General features: G+C 39.0%; 1 protein-coding gene across 24 annotated transcripts in view, besides 1 other annotated feature; it reads right to left on the minus strand.

Moving 5' to 3' along the window:
- ASAP1 (ArfGAP with SH3 domain, ankyrin repeat and PH domain 1) overlaps positions 1-21776 on the minus strand; it is a 391571-nt gene that overhangs the window by 174230 nt on the left and 195565 nt on the right. For all 24 annotated transcript variants that reach the window (XM_047421810.1, XM_047421806.1, XM_017013468.2 and 21 more), the window contains one exon: positions 10589-10661. In XM_047421810.1, the coding sequence (XP_047277766.1) occupies positions 10589-10661 (73 nt within the window). The remainder of the gene's footprint in view (positions 1-10588; positions 10662-21776) is intronic.
- Positions 21591-21650: an enhancer, noted in NCBI's record as "active region_27982". NCBI's record gives its function as "activates an Ori minimal core promoter by ATAC-STARR-seq in GM12878 lymphoblastoid cells {active_cell/tissue: GM12878}" and the evidence as "EXISTENCE:reporter gene assay evidence [ECO:0000049][PMID:35858748]".

The raw sequence follows: 21776 nt of genomic DNA on the forward strand, positions 1-21776 counted from the left end.
TTTCTTATCTATAACACTAATTTGGAAACAACTGCTGATTATGAGCAAATTATTTCACTTCCCTGAGCCTCAGTTTCCTTACATTTTCCCACCACTAACTGTATTAGTCTATTGTTAAGATTAAAGACAAAATCCTTGGAGGCAGAAAGCCCTGTGGACATTTTTTAAAACTGCTTTCCTCCATGCCACTTTGGATGATTCATTTCTATAATTTCTCAAGGTCATTTTGACTTTGGAGTTGTTCTTTCAAAGTCCTAACCAAGCCTCAGCAAGAGTCTGGCCCCAGCCTCTGGGGTGTTATCTGGAAACTCAGCATGCATATTCTCATTTCTGCAGCACTGACAAATCCATTAAATAACAGAGCCCCAAGAAAAGATACTCAAAGAGTTCCACAGGGCTATTACTCAGCATTTAAACAGCACCTGAACATCACTCTCCTATAGCAGAAGCAGAAATGTTCTCTCTTCTGGCTTCATCATACAGCCTTCCTACCTGCCAGAAGAAATACACAATACACTTTGGTTTACTGATGGCTCTGTAGGTAATTGCAATGCTTTGAGATGTGGTCCTAAAATAGGTAGCAAAGACACAACCAATTCCTCCCCTACTTCAGCCTCCACAGTATGACTACCCAATGGAGTCAACCCTTCTAAATAAATAGGTGTTTAAAAATAGGACCCCATATTTAACTACTAATTCACAAACTTTCATCAAGCACCTACAATGGGATACAAAGGTTATTTAGTGTTTAGAATTATGGCCTTGGGTACCACCTTTAAGTCCTTCTGAGCTTTAGCTTCTTGGCTTATAAATTATATGTAAAATCGAGATAATAAAACCTCATTGGGTTCTTGTTCTGCTAATGAGGTGGTAGCCTACGATAGGACTCAGCCTGAGCAGCTACCCTCTGAACACTATTTTTTTGTGGTTTTTTTTTGAGACAGGATCTCACTCTGTTGCGCAGGTTGGAGCACACTGGCGCAATTACAGCTCACTGCACACTTGACCTCACTGGTTCTGGCAATTCTCCCACCTCAGACTCCTGAGTAGCTGGAACCACAGGTGCATGCCACCATGCCCAGCTAATTTTTTTTTTGTATTTTTTGCAGAGATGGGGTTTTGCCATGTTGCCCAGGCTGGTCTCGAATTCCTGGGCTCAAGTGATTCGCCTCCCTTGGCCTCCCAAAGTGCTGGAACTACAGGCATGAGCCACACTGCACCTGGACTCTCCAAACTATTTTTAATCATCAATCCGTGTCAGTAAAACATTTCAAAGCATTTCCAATCAATGCTTATATGTTTATTTAATCAATTATAAATTATTATATATATTATACTATATATAACACAGTATATAGTATAGATAACATATTGTTTATATAAATCAATGGTTCTGATCTCAATGTCAGGGGTTCCAAAAACCCCTGAAATTGACTGAAATATTCTGCTTTGTAAGATTTTTTGTTTTAAGTTCAGATAACGTGTGTCGTCGTTCTGAGGCTTACTAAGGGGTCTATGACCCCAAAATGTTCAGAATTAGAAGAAATGTTAGCTGTATCTGAAGACAAAGCTTCTTGCCCTTTCTGGGTGCACAGTTGGCGAGTCTGAGGGAAGGGCAACAGCACATGTGAGATCAAAAGGGGCAGGTCTCTTTGGATCAGTTGCTAGGGAAATGCAGTATTGTTAGACACTATCAACTCCCCTTTGGGTATAAACAGTGCATTTTAGAGGCTACAAAAGTATCTTCATCTCATTTCATAAACAGACAAGAAAAAAAATCATCTCTGTTTCACTGGTAGAAAAACCAAGGTCCTGAGAAACGAAGGACTTGTTAAGAAATACTCAGTTACTTCCTGTCAGAGTAGAGATCACATCCCAGCTCTCTACCTAGGAGCATCCTAGCTCCTCACTGTACAGGTGGCATAGAACACCCCCCAAAACATGACCTCAACTAGGCTTCTCCACTTCAGAACTCTGGGAAAAAGCATCACCCTCAAATGTGGACAAGATAATGAGGGCCACAGAGAACACAGATGTGCTGGGTGCTCCAAAAGTATGTGTGTTTGTGATTCAGAATATACACAATGGGCCAGGAGCAGTGGCTTACGCTGGTAATCAGAGCTTTGGGAAGCGAAGGTGGGTGAATAGCTTGAGCCCAGGCGGTCAAGACCAGCCTGGGAAACACGGCAAAACCACGTCCCTACAAAAACCACAAAAATTAGCCAGGCATGGTAGCAAGTGCCTGTGGTCCTAGCTACTCAGAAGGCTGAGGTGGGAGGACCACCTGAGTCCAGGATGGCGAGGCTGAAGTGAGCCAAGATCATGCCATCGCACTCCAGCCTGGGCAACAGAGTGAGACCCTGTCTTAAAAAAAAAAAAAAAGAAAAAGAATCTAAATAATGAAAAAAAACAAAAAAACCTTTAACTTGAAAAATATATAAACAATGGGAAAAAACCTTTAAAAAGACCAGTGGCTATTATTTTTTTTTCTTTTAGCTCATCTGAATTTTCTATAGTAAACACATTAATATCACTGCACTTTCACAATGGGGAAAGAAACCAGAAAACACCAGTGAGAAAAATCAGCACGGGGTGTTCCAGTCCCCCCAGCACCCATACAGCTCTCCACAATGAAACAAGTACATGTCTGATCAATTACCCAAGACATGGAAGATCTGAGAATATCCTTCTGTTGTCTGTGAATGCAACAGACAAACTAGCCGAGCAAAGTCATCCTCTATCAACCTCTAAATGTTCTGTCTTATGGCACTGATTATCAATGAAAACCAGTTCAGAATCAGCAACAATCTGCTTGACTTGCATACCCAAATGAGGCATCACAGAATCAGTAAATAGTTATTCTTTCTTGCTAAACGCTTAATTGGAGAAACCTCTCCAGTCATAAAAATACACTTAAAAATTCACATTGACATGTGAACTAGAAATAAAACTAAACACACACATATGACTGCTTGTTAGAGGTTGTCATGGCATGGTTGTTTTCAGAGGGCAGATTCTTTGCTACAGTTTAAGTGCAACAGCTTTATACAGGAAAATACAATCCTACTTTGATGAGACATAAACCATTTAAGAATGAGGAAAATGCATTTTGAAATAGGAGGCAGCAAGATATAGGTAAAGCCATAGAATCTTTTGACTGTAGTTGTCAAGAAGGGTCTGTTTAAGGCTCAAAGGTGGTCCTTAACAGTCATTAATCTGAATCTTTATGTAAACAGTGAAAATAACTAATTGAAGACTGAAAAGCACAATGGACTCTACCTGGCACAGAGTAGGTATTCAACAAATGGCAGCTATATTTATTTTTACCAAAATAAATCATTAAAGCAGAGAAATACATTTTTATATTCACCTTTAACAGAGCAAATTTGTTGTTCATCCTAAGGCTTTAAAAAACCCCAAAATAGGCTGGGCGTGCTGGCTCACACCTGTAAATCCCAACGCTTTAGTAGGCAGAGGTGGGTGGATGGCTTGGGCCCAGGAGTTCAAGACTAGCCTGGGCAACATGGTGAAGCCCCATCTCTACCAAACACCACCTCCCTCCCACACACAAAACAAAAATTAGCTGGGCATGGTGGCATGCAACTGTGGTCCCAGCTGCTACTCGGGAGGCTGAGGAGGGAGGATCACCTGAGCCTGGGAGGTCAAGGATGCCGTGAGTGAGACTGCGTTACTGCTCTCCAGCCTGGGCAACACAGTGAGATCCTGTCTCCAAAACAAACAAACAAACAAACAAACAAACAAACAAACAAACACCAACCCCAAACTAGCGGTCGTGGGATGAGTACTCACAAATTTATTTTAAACTACTTAATTTATCATGATGTACATTCCCCAAAGATAGAAGAAGCACACATCATTAAAAAATTAACTCATTTTAAGTAAAATGAGAGCACTCATTCTACAACCAGCAAAACGGAGGAAGTGCATACACAGGCTCATACACACAGTGAATAGCTTCTAATTTCAAGTAAAAGAATATGTGAGCCAATAACTAGGATCCAAAAATTGAAACTTCCTAAGAAGCCTCGGGTTTTAATATTATTCTGGAAAGAGACACTGATTTTTAAACAGCATTCTTTTGAATCCCTCTAGTTTATCCCCACATAATTTAAGGAGTAATGCTCTCCTGGGTAAGTATATTCCCTTTGGGGGAAAAAAACCCCTTCCTTGACCCTTCATTATTAAAATAATGAAGGAACTCATTATTTTAATTTGTTTTCACCTCCCAAGGAGGTGGACCCACAAGAATGCAAAATGCCTTGAAGGCCCAAAGAAATCTGTTTAGATTTTGCTCAATCCCAGTATTTCTATCTAAAGCCTTTTGAGAGCTTAAGAATTGTTATTATTTTTACTAATCAATTTACTGTAATTCAAAAAGATTTTTTAAAAAATCTGGCTATCCACAAACTTGAAAAACAGCAAAAAAAGGTAAAATTTCCTAGAGACAAGCTGCTTTTGTACACCTTGTGACATTTTATTCTAATCTATTATGTCTCTTACATATGCTTGTTAAGAAAACTTTTCTCCCCACTGAAAACCGCAGGATTAAAATAAGCATTACATGACACCATGGTAAGACACCGAACCTAATTACCAACTCTAGTTACAACTGAATTCACACTATACCTTCAAGTTTGAGGAAATACTTAACTAAAAAATAGCTCAAATGAAGTTGTTTGGTTACAAAAACATTTGCTTCCTATCCACTGATAAATTTAGTACTTTACCTTTAAAATCCTAGATTTCCTTGTGCACTATGAGCTTTTTCTTAAAATAGATAATTTAACAAAATGAAAAAGTGGAGAGAACACCACACATTTTTTGCCTTAAAAAACACAAACCCTGTGTTATAAAACTATCTACTACTTAATTCTAACTGAAAAGGAATGGGAGACAAAAATGTAAGGAAATGAGAAAATCAATGGCTGTCTTCCTTGTAATGAAAAAGCTGCAAAACTGTTTATAACAATTTAGCTGTGTTTTGAAAATATGACTTCCACATCATATGCTGGTAATAAAATTATATACCACTGTCATTTTTTTCCTGCCCAGAAATATTAAAGGATTTACAAGCCTCAACTTTCAGACCAACAATGTTATAGATTCTAAGGGGCACCATGTGTTACCAATAAGCTAACATTTATTCTGAATATATCCTGGCATAAATTCTAAGGAACCAGCCATATAATAATATGTTCATTTAATTTGAGCAAAGAAAAAAAAAGCCAACACTTTAACACAGAAAAAGACCTAGTAGCAGGAATATCCTGAGTTCCTAGTCCCAGAAAGAAGTGTATACCTGTACCTGTGTTGTGTGAGAATGTATCTGCTCAAAAAGATTAACATTTTCAACCTAATTCATTTGGTAGAATAGCCAACTCAGTATACCCACGCTTATTATGAACCACATGCTTCCATTTCTAAAAGTGCAGTATGTCTCACTGTGTTTTTTAAACAATACTGAGAAGCAAGCAGTAAGCTCTTTTCTCAAGCCACACCTGACTTACGTGCATTCACATGCCCATGCTTCCAAGGGAAAGCCAGCCCCACTCCTACTGTACTGACCCAGGGTCTCTCACAAAGATCAAGATCAAGATGTCTGCCAGGGCTGCAGTCACCTGAAAGTTTGACTGGGGTTAGATTTGCTTCTACGTCTCACTTGCATGGCTAGTAAGTGAGTGGTAGTTCTCCATAGGACTGCTTGAGTATCCTCAATATGGTAGCTGGCTTCCTCCAAAGAAAATGATCAGAAAAAGAACAGAAGGACGAGGTTGAAGCTATCTTGTCTATGGACTGGCCTTGGAAATCACATGGCATCACCTCTACTACATTCTATTCATTAGAAGGGAGTTAGTAACTCTGGTGTACATTCAAGGGGAAAGGGGATTAGGCTCTATCTTTCTAAAGAAAATTGCCCAAGAATTACAATAAATTAAAACCTCCACAGTGCCCAAGAAACTACTAGTCATTTTAATCATATATTAGCAAAAGGGCGAAGGAGGGAGAAAATGGGAAAGGGAGAGGGACCACTAAGGCAGACTTCCTTAACGACAATGTGTTTCACAGATTAATAATGTTAAAACTTCAAAACTTAGAGAACAACACAGGAAAACTGAATGGCTTGGAGAATTTTCCATTGGTCTAAGTAGTTCACAGAATTGAGTTTTGTGTTGTTTTTTAAAATGTCCTCATACACAACAAGGAAAAGTGAGACACAAATTCCTAGAACAATCTTGAAACCAAAGGGCTTGCATGGAGACAATTTGTTTAAAAAAAAAAAACCAAAAAACCCTCATTTTTATAATGTTTACTAGTACTGATAAAAGTTTATGTGTAAAAATAATACATTTTAAGAGTAAGAAGCTTCACAATGTTTAGCCATTTTTCAAATCACTTTGGGAAGCTGAGTGATTGGTAATCTCCAACCAGAAATATAGAAATCCTTTTTAAATGTTTAAAAAATATCACATGGGTTTTGTATCACTTAAGCATTGTGAGAAAACAAGAAAATTATGAAAATGCATTGGGAAACAGATAGCAGGGTTCAGCTTCTTGTGGTTTCTCTGGATGAGGCCAAAAGCCCTTGGAGGGGAACAGCTTGGATTCCACTGAGCATGTATCATGGAAAGCTATGCAACACCACTGTTTTACTCATTTAGTCATTTTTAAAGAATTAAATGTCATAGTGCTGCCCACAAACCCAGCTATACTATACTTGTTCGTGACTGCAGAAACCCTATCAGGCCTCAATAGTCTGTGAGGAACCCAGAGGGATCTGAGTTTGTCCCTATATTTCTGAGACATGACCATGGAAACTACTATTGGTGGTCTCATCTGGGAAACACCAAAGTCATCCCACAGGTTACAATGCTGGGATTTTCCATTTGATGGATCCATTCATGAATATTCATGATTAGTGAATATTAATAGCTGGTCTCAGAGAGCTTCCCAGGTAGTAACACATCCAGCCAACATGTAGCGATTCACTCAACCCTTGTTGAGCCCCTACCATGTGTTAGGTAGAAGACAAATACAGAGTACCTGTAAAGAGCAAAGCTGGGGTCAGCTGGGCTCTCTTTCCATTATTTGCTAGGTATGGTACCCTGAACAAGTTATTCTGTCTCTCTAAGCTTCAGTTTCATCATCTATAAAATGAGAACAATGGTACTTACCTTATTGGCTTGTTTGGCTTAGCCTAGTACAGTATAAATACAAAATGAATATCATTTCCTCCAAGTGGTACTCCCTTAGCACCTTCCTCACGCTACCTCAGATCCTTCTTCCTATTTCACCCTTTGCACTTTGTAAGCTTTCTTTTATAGCGCTTCCTAGTTTCTAGTTATAAATACTTCCCAGTTTGATGATCTGATTAACATTTATCTCTCCCCTACTGGATTGTAAAATTCATGAAGGCAGAGACTTTGATGTGCCAAACACCTAACACCCAGAACAGGAGAATATAATAGGTGCTCAATAAATATCTTTTCAAACAAACAAATTACATTGACAAATGCATAAACTACAAAAACGAAAAACATAGTACTAGTCTTATCAAAAAACTCATAGGCCAGTGCAACAGTTCTTAATTTTGGCTGCAAGTTAGAATCAGCTGGGGAATAATATTTTTTTAATCTCAATAGCTAGGCTCTACTCTGGAACAATTCGAGGGTAAGGGTCTGAGAGATTCCTGTTTTTGTTTTTAAGAGTTCTTCAGGTGATCCTAATCAACAAAGGTAAGAATCATTATCTACTCCAAGAGAGATGGTTAGTAATTGCAATACAATGGGATACATGTTCTCCTACAGTATCAGTCTAACAGGACTTCCTGTGATGATGGAGAAGTTTCTATTTCTGCACTATCCAATATGGCACCCACTAGTCATATACGGCTGTTAAGTTCTTGAAATGTGGCTAAAACTGAGGAACTGAATTTTAAATTTTATTTTAATTCATTTAAAATTTAAAACCATATCTCACCAGAGGCTACTCTAATAGTACAAACCTAGGAGGAGGGCACACAGAACCCCTAATCCAGACTGGAGAGATTCAATGTTCAATAAGCTGTACCACCCCCATCCACAAAGAGGGTGCAGTCTACTGGAGGAGGCTGCACCCAAACTCTGCATACAGCCCTTGAACTCTCACCTCTTTACATCCATACAGGAACAATCTCTCCCTTCTGTCATACCCATGGCAGCTGTGATCAAGGAAATCCTTTAAAGAACAGGAAGAAGCATATCCCCCAGTAGAGGAGCCTTTGTATGAGCTGCTGAGTGATGTGGTCATTGTGGCCAAGGGATGAAATGCATCTTGAGGGGGAACATTTGGAAAAGAGTCACATGGAGGGAGCCCTCAGCACGGTAAATACAGCAGCACCTCGTGGCTGTAAAGCAAGGGTCTCCCTTTTGCAGCTCACAAGCATAGAGCCTCAGGTACAAACCATCATCACATTACAGAGAACTGACCATTCTTCCTGAGACAAACAATGGTTCTCATTAAGCTCTTTATAAAATCAGGCTGGTCAAATGTTGTATGTGGAATCACTGAATTAAAATAGAGAAGGCACTCAAGAATTCATCTAGCTGTCCTTTTCCCCCATCTACCATTTGTTAGGCACCTACTATGTGGCAGGCAGTGTATTAGGGGCCTTAGATGGTCTCTCCTTTTGTCCATACAATCCCCTGCACATTAGATATTATTTTTTAAATTTATGGTAAGGAAATGTAAGACTCCTGGAAGTTAAATAATATACTTGACTTGAACAAGTATAACAAAGCTAGGATTCAAACTCAGACCTAGACTACTTGAGTTTCTCTCTTTTTCAAAGGGGTGTGTAGTAGTCTATTATATGTATACTATGGTTTATTTAATAAATCCCTTTTATTTTCTGCTCTTCCAAATCACAATCAAGGCTTCAGTGAACCTCCTTGTATATAATACTTTAAATATATTTTTATTGGTATATAATATACATACCTACAGAAAAGTACATAAATCCTAAGTTCAGCATCTGATGAATTATCAAAAAGTGAACTTTACCATGTAACCACCACTAACATCAAGAAACAACAATATCAGCACCTTAGAAGCCCACTTTGTGGCATCTCCTAGTTATTTATTTCACTCACCTCCCCAAAGAGCTAGTATCAAACATAAGGGCCTACCACAGTGTGGGAGTTCATTGAAATAAAAGCGAAAGGGCAGGAGTTATAAATTAGGTATATAACTTAGGCCAAGACCTAAAACAACATTTGGTCATAACTACATGACTATTAGTTATCTACCTTAATGAGAAGTTAGTGGATATAAAGAAATTAGGGAGCAAAATGAAGGCACCAGGGTGCAAAATGTGTTAACAATTAATATTACAGAATGTCTCAAGGCCTAGGGGGGTTTAAAAAACAAGAGAATATTAGGTTTCCAGTTTCATTTGGCTAGGGATTCCCAGCTCTGATGAGACGGGAAGGCCATAAAGTACCTGAGGGTTTTGGCTTGTTCAGGTTCCATTCAGCTCAATAATTTCATGATGATAAAATTAAGAGGAACATGCATTTACTGAACTCCCATAACCTGGCAGACCCTTTACAGATATGAGATCATTAAATCCCTTCAACAACTTTTTTTAATACCACTATCCTCACGTTACAGAAGAAAAATGGAGGCTCAAGAAGGAGAAATAACCAGCTCAAGGTCACCTTGCTAATAAGAAGTGGATTAGCAAGGACGAAAGCCCACATCTGTCCAACTTCACGGCCTGCGCTCTTTCTATTATAGTCTGCTGCCTTCCCTTCCAGGTTTTCTGTTAAGTTACAGACCACTGATTTCCTAGAGAAGTAACCTATTGGTAGGTGAGCTGGTACTGCAATAGTAACAAAAGATGTGAGTGAGAAACTCTGAAATCCATTTTATGTTTCCAAGCTTCTCTTCTACAGTGCTGGAGCCTACCATTTTTTGTGGTTACTCATTTTTTTTTTTTTAATTTAGTTTGTTTCCTCTTATTCACTGATGACATACTTTTGCCTCCAAGGTGACAAAGTCACTAGACAGTTAAAACATTTAGTTACACAGGTTATCTGGCACACCTTCCAACAAAAGAAAAGATGATAGTTCACAGGTCTGTTGAGGTCTGAATTTAACTTTGCCCCCTCCTCTCTAACTTTTTCCACAACCATCGCCAATATTGATTTTCAAATGTGTACAGGTACACTGAAGAAGGGAAAAGATTCTGATGTGTTTAACTGAAGCCACTGAGTTACAGGTTGACCAAATTCACACAGAGATTTTATCTATCTCATGTTACTTGTGACAAATTTACTCATAACTCTATTAAGCACTTAAGTGTACAGTAAAATCCACTGTGACTAATGCTTTTCTTCTTTCTGTTTTGGAAACACTAATAGGTTTGGGCTGACAGTCGAGATAAGAGAAAAAAAGAGAAATTTCTTTTACCTACTTACTTTTCCATTTGTGTCAAGTTTCCTATAAACTTAACATCTTTTAAATAACTAACAAAACTCTGTAGACATTATTTATAATTCATGTTACCTCATTTTTAGTAAGTGCTTACCTTGACCAGAATTATATATTGCTTTTACAGACTTCTTCACTTTCTGAAGGGCTGTTCTATCTTGGTCTAGAGCCTAAAAGAGAAAAAAGGGGGAAAAGATATTAGAAGATTTGGTAAATTAAAAAAATAATAAGAAAAATTCATTTGTAATTGCATTTGTTTTCCTGAGTACCAAAGCAACAGCAAACTGACATATTCATTAACAATGAATCATATCAGACTGGAAGTCCCTGGGATCTGAGTAGTTATATTTTCCGGAGAAGTGCAGTCATTCCACAAAGCTCAGTGTGTGAAATGGATAGCATTTTAGTCAGTCAATTATCATGCTAAGCTATGCACAAGAAAGACAGTACAAGACACTGAAGAAATCTTAAGGCTTGGATTCTTTCATGCATTTACAATCTGGTAAGGAGAAAAGGCAAGCATAGACATGAATGGCACAATACCCAGGCAACAGGACACACTTTATCACCTAAATGGTAATTTTAGCCAGAAAAACATTTCAAGGGGTATAATGAGTAGGAATGACCTGAAGAGCTTTTCACAGTGCTTTTAAGTTTTGCGATTTCTTTTAGTGTTAAAAAAAAAAATTAGTTATGACATATGGCAGTTGAATTTTGGCAATCTTTTAATTTAAAAAAACAGGTTGGAAAATGCCATCATGATGCTGGTAATGCTTTTAAATGATTTCTTGGATGATGAATCAACACATTAATCTACCTGTGGTATAAGCAGGGGGGCTTCTAGGAGTCTATTGTTGTTGATTCTTAATCCAGGTACAGGATATACCATTGTGTTTAGTTTGTTAAAATTCAGCAAATTGTGCGTTTAGGCTATGTACTCCTTTCTGTATGTGTATCACACTCCAAAAACAAGTTTAAAATGGGGCATAGTCAATATACTTGGCACACTGGACTAACTTGTTAAAACAATTTTAGGCCCCTTTCTGCTACTTCAAGGGCCTCTGGTCTGCTTGGGAACCCCTAGATGATATGTCAAGATTTGGAAGGCATGAGCAATAACAGTAATAAACTGCATAAATAAAAATTTAAAACATTAAATGTACACTCACATCCATTACATCATCTAAACCTCAGAACTTCAGACCAGAAAACTGAAGCCCACAGAGGCTAAGTACTTCCCTGAAGAAGCCGAAAGGGATAAATGCAATGGTAGCAGGCACCTACAATTCCCCTTATGGAAAATGGTCTTTCCTACCACCTTCCTTCACCTCTTGTTCTCTAGACCCCAGTGTCTGGCCAGGTGAGCACCAGACTCATACTGGACTCAACGTCATTCCTCGGATTTCTGGGCTTGGAAACAAGGACCACAATGCTCAGTCGCTTTCTGGTCACATCAGCTTAAGACTGCCAGTGGTTCTGTTTCTTGATGTGAGGAAAAATCTGGCCAGACAAAATGACATTAACAGAGACACAGTAACAGAGAAAAGAGGTAGAGACACTCCTCTGGCATCTGAGTTTTTGCTTCCAGCTGTTCCCAAGGCATATGTCACTGTTAACCTTCCTACAGTCTGAGTACACGAGACAACAAATTCCTTCTGTCCCAAGCCAGTTGAGCTTGGAATTCTGTCACTTGCAACCACAGGTCCTAAGTAACACTAGAACTAACATTTACTGAGCACTTACTAGACATCAGGTATAAAACTTATTATATTTATAAAACATATCAATTATATAAGATATATACACTTTCAAATATTTTATCTCTTTGCATTGCATCTTTACAGAAACCTGTTAAGGATCATCTTCATTTTTCAGATAAGGAAATGTAGTAGACCTTCAATAAATATTTATAGAAAGGCAAGGTGAGAAAGGTTAAGTAACTTTCCCAAGGTCACAGAGCCAGAAAATGCTAATGTCACATTCTACACTTATATCTACCAAATCCCAAAGTGTATGCTTTCTTTACTGGGATGCTGAGACAAAAAACAGGGTTTCCAGACTGCAAGTCTAACACGATTTCCACCATACCCATCACCTACATTCTAACTCCATATCTTATCACATCCACTGCCTACCTGTACTTCTGTTCAATATCTTCCTTTAAATACTCTTGTATCTTTTTAAAAAAATTTAAATAACTGTATTGTAAAGAGTTACAATAAATGAAAAACCAGGATCACTTACCATTGATAGAAGACACTTTGAAAATTACAATGTACCTCTACCTATACAAAATGCTCCTCCGCTTAGGATCTCAAGTCATCTCACATACCTGTCATGCTGCATGTCATGCTTAAGGGAATGTTTTATGAGACATTTCAGGGAAGAGATAAATTTTGTATTACTGAAAAGATTTAAGATTTGCATTGTAGAGGAAAGAGGGAAGATAACTAATATTTAACATATACTTGGTATAAACCAGAAAGCATGCTAAGAGGTTTACAGAGATTATCTCACTTAATTCTCACAAAAGTCCTGTGAAATAAATATTCTTATTATATCCATTTTATGGATGAGGAAACAGAGGCTTGGCTTAGAAAGGTTAACTTGTCCAGGGTGGCTGAGCTGGAATTTGAACCCAGGTCTTTGACAACACAGAGCCTTATCTTCTAACCACTACCTAATTCTGCATTCTAATGATATCCGCGATAGGCTGAAACTAAAAACAGTCTCATCATATGGGGGAGGTGACGACTATATACCAGTTTTGAGATAAACCTGAGTTTTAAAAATATATAAGACATTTAGATTGCTAAGAGCAGGAGGGAAAGAACATGATGCAAATAAGCATTTACTTAAAAGACTGAATCCAATGGGTTTATTCTTAGATGAACTGTTTTTGTGATGTCATTGTTTTAAAATGCTAAAAATAGTCATTAATTTTTTTCCATACTTATGATTGCCCTTTTTCCCTGATGAAAAACCTTGGGCCTTAGAGAAATTAGTTAGCTTGCCAAGTGTCACATACTAAGTAAGAGAAGAGCCAGCCTATGCTTTTTCAACCATGCCATCTAATCTGTTGTGGAAGGCAAGTCCAAGTTTCCCCTGAATCAACATTTCTTAATTATTTTCAAGAAAGAAACAAAGATCTGCTTCTGGAGGAGAATAACCTATCGGTTATCTTTGGGGGAATAATGACTAAAAAAGGATGGCTGTAGTCTAACAGAAATTACTAAGTGGACTTTACAGTTAACTCCAAATGAGCAAATGAATGTGAAAGATTTCAGCCATAACATTTTTTGAGACCATCTACCTACTTCCTTTTGTGGGGGGGAGCGGGTACAGTCTCAGAATTTCTGTTCAATGTTTACCAACTTGCCTATGAACTGGTAGGGTGTAAAGTTCATCTACTTACTTTTAAAGTTTATTGAAAGCATCCTCATTTGACAGCTACAGTCAGGTAAGTCTAGGTGACACTTCTTTTTTTTTAAGCTTGAGTGTTTGGCCACTGGCAAAAATAAGCTAAATAAAATGCACTTTTAAGAGCCTCATGTTTTAGAGAGACAGGGGATACTGTCCTTCAATCAAACAAGGCTCCCTCTAGAAATAATACAAGTCTAAGTGTGCTACAAAGTTTTATTCCCATAAATGCCAAACAACAACTGCAGTGACATCCTCTGAAATGTCATATATGTAAAATTAAATAAGGGCTAAGAGAAAAATGGTAGATAATATAGGCTATAAGATTATCTTTCCCAAATCATTAGAAGTATGATAAAACGTGTGCGGGCATTTCTAAGTATGTATCCGCAGTTGGACAACTCAAAAGAGTGGGGTGAGGGGGAAAGAATGAATTAACAAATAAATGAATACAGGAGAATGTAAAGTTGTGCCATACGGCATTATTACATTCTCTTTAACATTACATAACTAAGGATCAGGGATGGTAGTCTAGGAGAGCACTTCCAACCTTGATACGAAGACTTTTTACTTTTATTTCACACATAGTCCTAACAAGTTTTGTCATTTGAATCTAGGCCCAGAGAAGATGCAGGCTGCTGCAAATCAGAGAGAGGCTGCTAGGAAGCCATACTGACAGAGGCACTACATGAGAGCTGACAGCCAAAAGGATGTAGAAAAATTATACAAACCAGACCATAAGGACAGAAAAGTCCTTGAGACTTTGAGGACAAGGAGGGTAGCATACCTCTCCAGGCCGAGTGGTATCCCTCAGTCACAGCAGAGTGTAAGAGCAGATGTTCTCAGAGACGCGTATGAATCTGACCATGCCTGCTCAGGACATTTGAACTAGTTGATTGCTCTGCCTAGAACTCTTCCCCAAAGCTCTCTGGATGACTGGCTCTTTCTTCTTACACAAGCCTCGGATTAAGAGTCCTTTCCCCACAAAAGCCTTCTAAGGATACCCTACAGCAGTGTATACCCTCGGCCCACCCAAGGGTTACTCTCAAATGCACGTCATGCCAGTTTTTCCATAGTGTTACCACATCCTGAAATGATCCTGTTCATGATTTGTTTGCTTTTACGGTATTTTTCTCTCTACTAGAAGAATGGAAGTTCTATGAAAGCAGGGGCTTGTATAACCTGTTCATGGCTGAGTTCCTAGTCCTAGTGTCTAGCACACAGTAGATGCTCAAAAATGCTTATGAAATGAAGCGACAAATGACTGAATACATAAACTCATCAGTATAATCATCTCCACAAAACAGAGAAGTAGGCAACATAAGACTTGCTTTGAAAATGGTTGACAAAATAGTTCTAGATTCAGAAAACATGGTCCTCTGTAATTCTTCCCCTAATGGTTTTGAATAAAGTTTAAAGGTATACATATCTAATATGTATAGCCATATATGTAGAAGAGATATGACTATACAGTCATGAGAATAATGTCTTAACAGGACATTGCCTTCAAATAGTTATTCTGTGAACTTTCTTTAAAAATATTTTATTGAAATATATTTATGCTAACTGAGCAATGGCAATACTGTTGCCACTATTCATTAAGACTTTCTATTTTAGAATTACTTTCTAAATCTATGGCACTTTCTATATACTCAAGTGGGAAAATTGCTTTTATTTTGGGTAGATTAGATTTTAGACAATAACCACAACTCTTTGGAGCTAAATTTTATGTTTACAGAGGCAGGAAATAGTACATAACAATAAAATATTAGCATAGAACTTCCTAGAGATATGCCAAGGTAGCAGGGAATTATACCTACCATCTAGGAGTGCTCTGAGCATTCAATACATTAATGTGCCTAGAAGTGGCTAGCACAAAGTCTTGAATGGAGCAGGTGCTCAAAAATGACCAGCTATCATTACTCTCACCTCAGAAGGCAGTTGCCAGTGAAACACTTGGAGCAGTGACAGCAAAACACCTCTGAAACAAATACTCCTATACCAAAGTGATTTCCTTAAAAAAAAAAAAAAAAAAAAAACAACTTTTTTTTTTTTTTAACTCACTTGGAAAAAAAAAGGGCTTCCATTGTATTGCTTTATAGTATATTCAGAGAGGTCATTTAAAAAATGCTTTTTAATGGATGCATTTGTCCCATAATCGCCACAAGGCAAATGTTCTTATATGTGTTATTCCTTTAATAGGGGAAGCAAGGGAATGCTACTTTGGCCTAATTTTGGTTTAGACTCTGATTACTTCAGCCTTGAGCTTGTTGGGCAATCATGCTACCTTGATGGGAGGAGTGAGGATTGAAGAGCAATGTGTTTAGGGATGCCTAATTAACACTTGCATAAGAGGATGAAAAAGTGACATAAGTTCTCATGCAGCCTCACAGCCAAATCAGTAAATTATTTACCCATTGTAAATCTCCATATGCTAGAACATATACGTGAATAATCATAATGTGAAGGCATAAGCTCTTTCTATGCATTCATTCACACTGTCCAATGTGATCATGAGTAGAGTTGTGGATAAAGGTGCCAGAAGAAAGAATTGACAATGAAGAATTGTCACTGTCTCCTCCTCAAAAAGGGGAAAGATATAGGCAAACCACGCAAATGTGTGCTGTTGACCTTCCATACCTGTGGGTTCCACAGGCCAACTGTGGGACTTGCATGTGCATAGATTTTGGTATCTGTGGGGATCCTGGAACCAATTTCTCTGAGATTTTTTCTGATGATCATCAAACTTGGGTTTTTACATCATTTAGGCACTTATTCATCCACTCAGTGTGCTAGACGCTTCAACAGGCACCAGCCAAAGTGTGAAAACCAAATTGTGCATCTACCTCTCCTTAACCAGCTGCAGGCCTCCTCACTTCTTGCCACAGCAAAGCAGCAGCAGCAAAACCCTTTGCTAGAAGAAATGGGAAGCCTGGTAAGGCTTCTGATAAGATTGATAAAGTAAGTTGTTCATAAAACATTCATTATTGCTAACCTGGGGCTTGCTTTATCCATACTTCTCACATCATTCCACTCTACCTTATTTTTTAGATGTTTAAGTACCTGCGTCTCTCCCTGTACTCCATCAACTAAAAACTCCGTAAGAATAATACCAGGATAATATTCATGTTTATTTCTTCACATAGAAGATGCTTTGTAAGGATTCACTGACATGAATGAAAGGAATGAACACATACACACTCTCTCTCTCTTTGGAGGAAGAAAGGAAAGATGAAAGAATTCACTGTTCTTCCAATAAAACTAAGTCCTCGCTACTGCCTGCAAGGCCCTACGTGACCCAGCCTTCTGCCCTCTCCCCTCTGTTCCCACACCCTCCACTACTCATTATGTTCCAGCCACACCTACAGTCTTTCTAACCCCAATGAGCTAGTCCTGCCTTAAAGCTTTTAGAATTGCTGACCTCTCTCCTGAAATCTTTTTCTTAAAACTCTCTTCGCCTAAATCTAAACGGGCCTAGCTTGTACCTTCTCTCTTTTTTTCTGCCATTCAGGTCAAATGCCATCTCACAAGGACATTCTGATGGTCCAACTCCCAGTCACTGTCCATTCATTACCCTCTCTTACTTCCTAGGAAGAACTAACACTCTCTGAAATGATCTTATTGTTATGCTCCTGCGTTTATGATCTGTCCCAATAGAATGTAATCTCTCAAAGAAGGTGGTGCTATCCTGTTCATGGCAATGTCACCAGCACTGAAAACAATAGGAGATGTGCAGTAAATATCTATTATTTTTTTTACTTTCCCTTCTTTTCACAGGTGATGACCTATTAAATTCATTTTAAAGACTTGTGTTAGTCACTGATCTGGCTGGAGGGCCGAATCAAGGGTGTATAGATCACCCTGTTGTAATCTTCAGATCCAGACTAAAAGGCCCCAACAGGTAGCATGGTATCAGACCTATTAGAGCACTCAGTGGAAGCTGACTGAATGAACAAGCAAACAAATGGAAGGTGAAAGAATGAATATCTCTCTTATGTCTGTGTCTGACATTTGAGGACCTGTTGGTGGTTTCAGTTAAACTGGCCTGAGTACTATGTGAATATGAACTCCTTGTTGCCTTGCCCTCTCCTATACTAGTGAACAGATGGTCCCGGAATCTCCTGATTACTTGAAATTAAAACAAGAATGCCCATTCCTGGAGACTGTGCAAGAATCCAAAATGACCACGTGGGTACAATAAACCCTTCCAAAGCAGCTCTATCTCCTCATCTGAAAGGGTAAGTGGAGTGGCCACAAATGAAATTAAAACCTAACTAGTCTGAAAATATGTCTCATCATTTCCCCTCACTAGAATTATCTTTCTATGCACTCATCCACCCAGCAAACATTTACTAAGCAATGGCTAGGGGTTAGGCTATAAAGATACAGAAGCGAGTGAAACATAGCCTGTCTGTATGGCACACCTTTGGAAGAGCAAAGTTAAGTTTCACGGGGTTCCAGGGATAACAAAAAGAAGGTTGGAAAGTAATTAAGCAGAGAAGAAGGGAGCTAACTAAGAGTGTCCCCTGTGGGCCAGGTGCTGTCCTAGGTCATCTCCATCTTTAACCCCTGCAATCCTGGAGGAGAAGACGCCCATGGCATTCTATCTGACACTCCTCTTGGAACAAGCCAGGAAGGAATGGGAGTAAGGGTGCAGACAGGAAAGACAAGTTGAGGCAGAGAGAAGCAGAACAGAAATAGGAACTCCAATTACAGCAGTTTGAGGAGTTGAGGTGTGGAGTGCTAAGAATCATCCTGTGTAACAACACCCACAGTTAGTGGGGTTCAACCAGGAAGCAGCAGTGCAGAATACTTGCCAACAGAGGAAGAGGGACCTGGCAGCCGCAGCTTATATGAAAGGAAGAGGTAAAGATGTTATCATGTTAGTTTCAAGATTAATATGAGTTGATTGAGGCTGCCATGAAGGGGAAATGACCAACCTAAAATAAAATTTGATTTGCATAACACAGCCCCAAAATTGAAAGTTGGTATGTTATCTGCAAATAAAGGTTTTAAGATGTTTATCTGTGCTGTTTTAGACTATAAAAAGTGTCCTTAAGATTCTCCTGTGCTTATAAAGATTTCTGTCAGAAACATTTAACGTCTTCTACGGTGCCTACAGCTTAATGGCTGCATGGTTCTCAGCTGGAATTTGACCAAAGAACAGGAAAGATCTGTAAATCCTAAACTTTGAAAGGTTTGGGCCCCACTTGACAAGTTACTTCACAGTTCAGATCCTTGGCAAAAATTTAACATACCACCTTCGACCAATATCTCCTAAACAATTCTAAGGATTTAGTCCATCCAAGAAAACACCACCAAGCTATCAACTTCCCAAGCCAAAGAAAAGGTACTGCATAAAACTAGCTCGCAAAAGTCTGCTCTCCTACGTAGGCATAAATTATCTGTTAGGTGTGTATACGTTTTGAGGGCAGGGCCTATGTTAGGCCCAGAGTAGGGCTCAATAAATATCTGTCAAATAAATCTGCCTCTATATTAAAAGCATCAAGAATTAAAGCTGTACAGAAGAAAACTGGAACTCAATAATGCTGCTATTTCTCATGTACTATTTGTTTTAATGCCTTAGTGTTTATTACAATCACTTAAAGGAAGCACCATCTTAACTAAGGTAAATATTGCAACACATATTTTTTGTTTGGGTAGCACACGTAAAAATATTCACTATCTAATCGCCCCGGGACTCTTGGAGGCTACAGTGGTTCCCAAGCCTCATCTTGCCTTTCAAAAGTCAGTCACATCACGTATCAATAATGAAATCATTTTATAATCATTTATGAGGGCTTACGACCTGGATGAAGCACACTCCTCTCAATTAATCACTGCGAGTTGTAAAGGAAGTCTTACAAAGTCCTACATGTAACACGGGCAAAAGGAAGCCATTTGCGGTGAAGGGCCTGCCTACCTCCCTCCCCTTCGCCCCCCCATGGGAAAAGCAGACTCCGAGAGAGACTAGATGAGTGAAGGGAGATGAGTGAAGTATGGGCCTCCTATCATATCAACAACCTTTTCATTAAACCACTCTGCCTTTTGTACCAATGGCAGAATTCAGCAATGTGTACAGAGAAAGGAAAACAGATCCCCTTCAAAACCCTTGATATGGTTTGGCTCTGTGTCCCCACTCAAATCTCATGTTGAACTGTAATCCCCACATGTCAGGGAAGGGGCCTGGTGGGAGGTGACTGGATCATGGGGGTGGTTTCCCCCATTCTGTTATCATAATAGTGAGTGAGTTCTCACAAGATCTGATGGTTAAAAAGTACGGTGCTTCCACTCTCTCTCTCTCCAGCGGCCTTGTGAAGAAGGTGCTTGCTTCGTCTTTGCCTTCTGCCATGACAGTAAGTTTCCTGAGGCTTCCCCAGCCACGCGGAACTGTGAGTCAATTAAACGTCTTTTCTTTATAAATTACCCAATATCAGGTAGTTCTTTATACCAGTGTGAAAACAAACTAATACAACCCTTAAAATCAAACCTGTCATCCTAAACAACTACAGCCATTCCATACATTCTGTAAAGAGAACTCAACCCACCTCTGAGGGCTAAGCTAAGTTTTGCTTTTCTCTGGGATGCTCATTCTCTGCACCTAATCAGTAGAATCCTTGATGGTCCCACACCATCTGGCACTAAGTTACTATGAGTACCCACAGTTCTAAGTGACCATTAATGTTCCAGAAATCAACTACCATTTGTTAAGAGGTCCAACCTTTGCCTCTTGGAAGAAACATAGCCTATCACGCGGCAAGCTACCATCTTGAGAGGTGTAAAGCCACGGCTACAAACACAAGCTTTGAGGTCATAGAGACCTGTGTCACTGCTTGGCTACCACACACTGACTGTGTGACCCTGGTCAAGTTAGTCACTCTCTCTGATACTAAAGGTACTGTTAACACCTTTCTCATATAATACCTGGCACAGACATGTGTTTGCTTCTTTTCCTCCTTTCCCCAATGGTCCTCAGAGTCTGATTTTGGTTCATTCTTGTCTCTTTTCTCCCCAGTATTGATGATGATAAAATGACAATGTGACATTGCCATTAATCTTATATCATCTTATATAATCAACACAGTAACTTATAAGAAGGTTTCTATTACCTATGTTTGACAGATAAGAAAATTGAACATCAGAATGGCCCTAAGATATGCAGCTAATAAGAGAGCCAGGATTCCAAAGCAGGTCTTCCTGATCTCAAGGTCTATATTCATAACCATGTTGCTCTCCAACCCTTCAACCTGACACAATGGGGTTCAAAAGATGGAGGACCCTTAAAAAAAAACAACAACAAGGATTCAGTCATCAGGCCACTAGACAATCAGTTTCAAAGACCTTTTTCTTCCCATTCCAGGAGGCTCTATGTAAAACAGCTAAAGAGTAGTTGAGATAAAAAGCAAAGTGGGAAGGAGTCAACTTGCAGGTCACTGGGGTTGTGCCACCCAAGCAGGTCAGACGTGAGCTGCACATCAGCCATTTCACATAGGTCTATCTGCTAAATACTTTGCTCAGCATAGTGAGTGTCAGTTAAAACCACAGAGGGGCTTTCCACTTAGCTTCAGGCACACCCTGGGAACCACAGCTTTTGTGGACTTCACAAATTGAAAACTAGTCTTGACAATGAGCATCATTTTCACTAAAACTGATCGCTGGCATGTGTACCTGCATACAGAAAATAGGCTTAATATAAATAACCAACCACAACACCACGTGGAGATGCACAGGCTTGTGAAAGCTTCCAGGTGCCCTTTAAAATACTGGTGACTTACTGAAAAACACCACTGAGAGTGACTGATTGGTAGAAAAATCCTTGAAAAGAATTAGTGGGCCTATCTGTGGCATCAGGAAAGAAAATAGGA

Source organism: Homo sapiens, chromosome 8 (genome assembly GCF_000001405.40).
Source record: "Homo sapiens chromosome 8, GRCh38.p14 Primary Assembly".
Classification (NCBI taxonomy): Eukaryota; Metazoa; Chordata; class Mammalia; order Primates; family Hominidae; genus Homo; species Homo sapiens.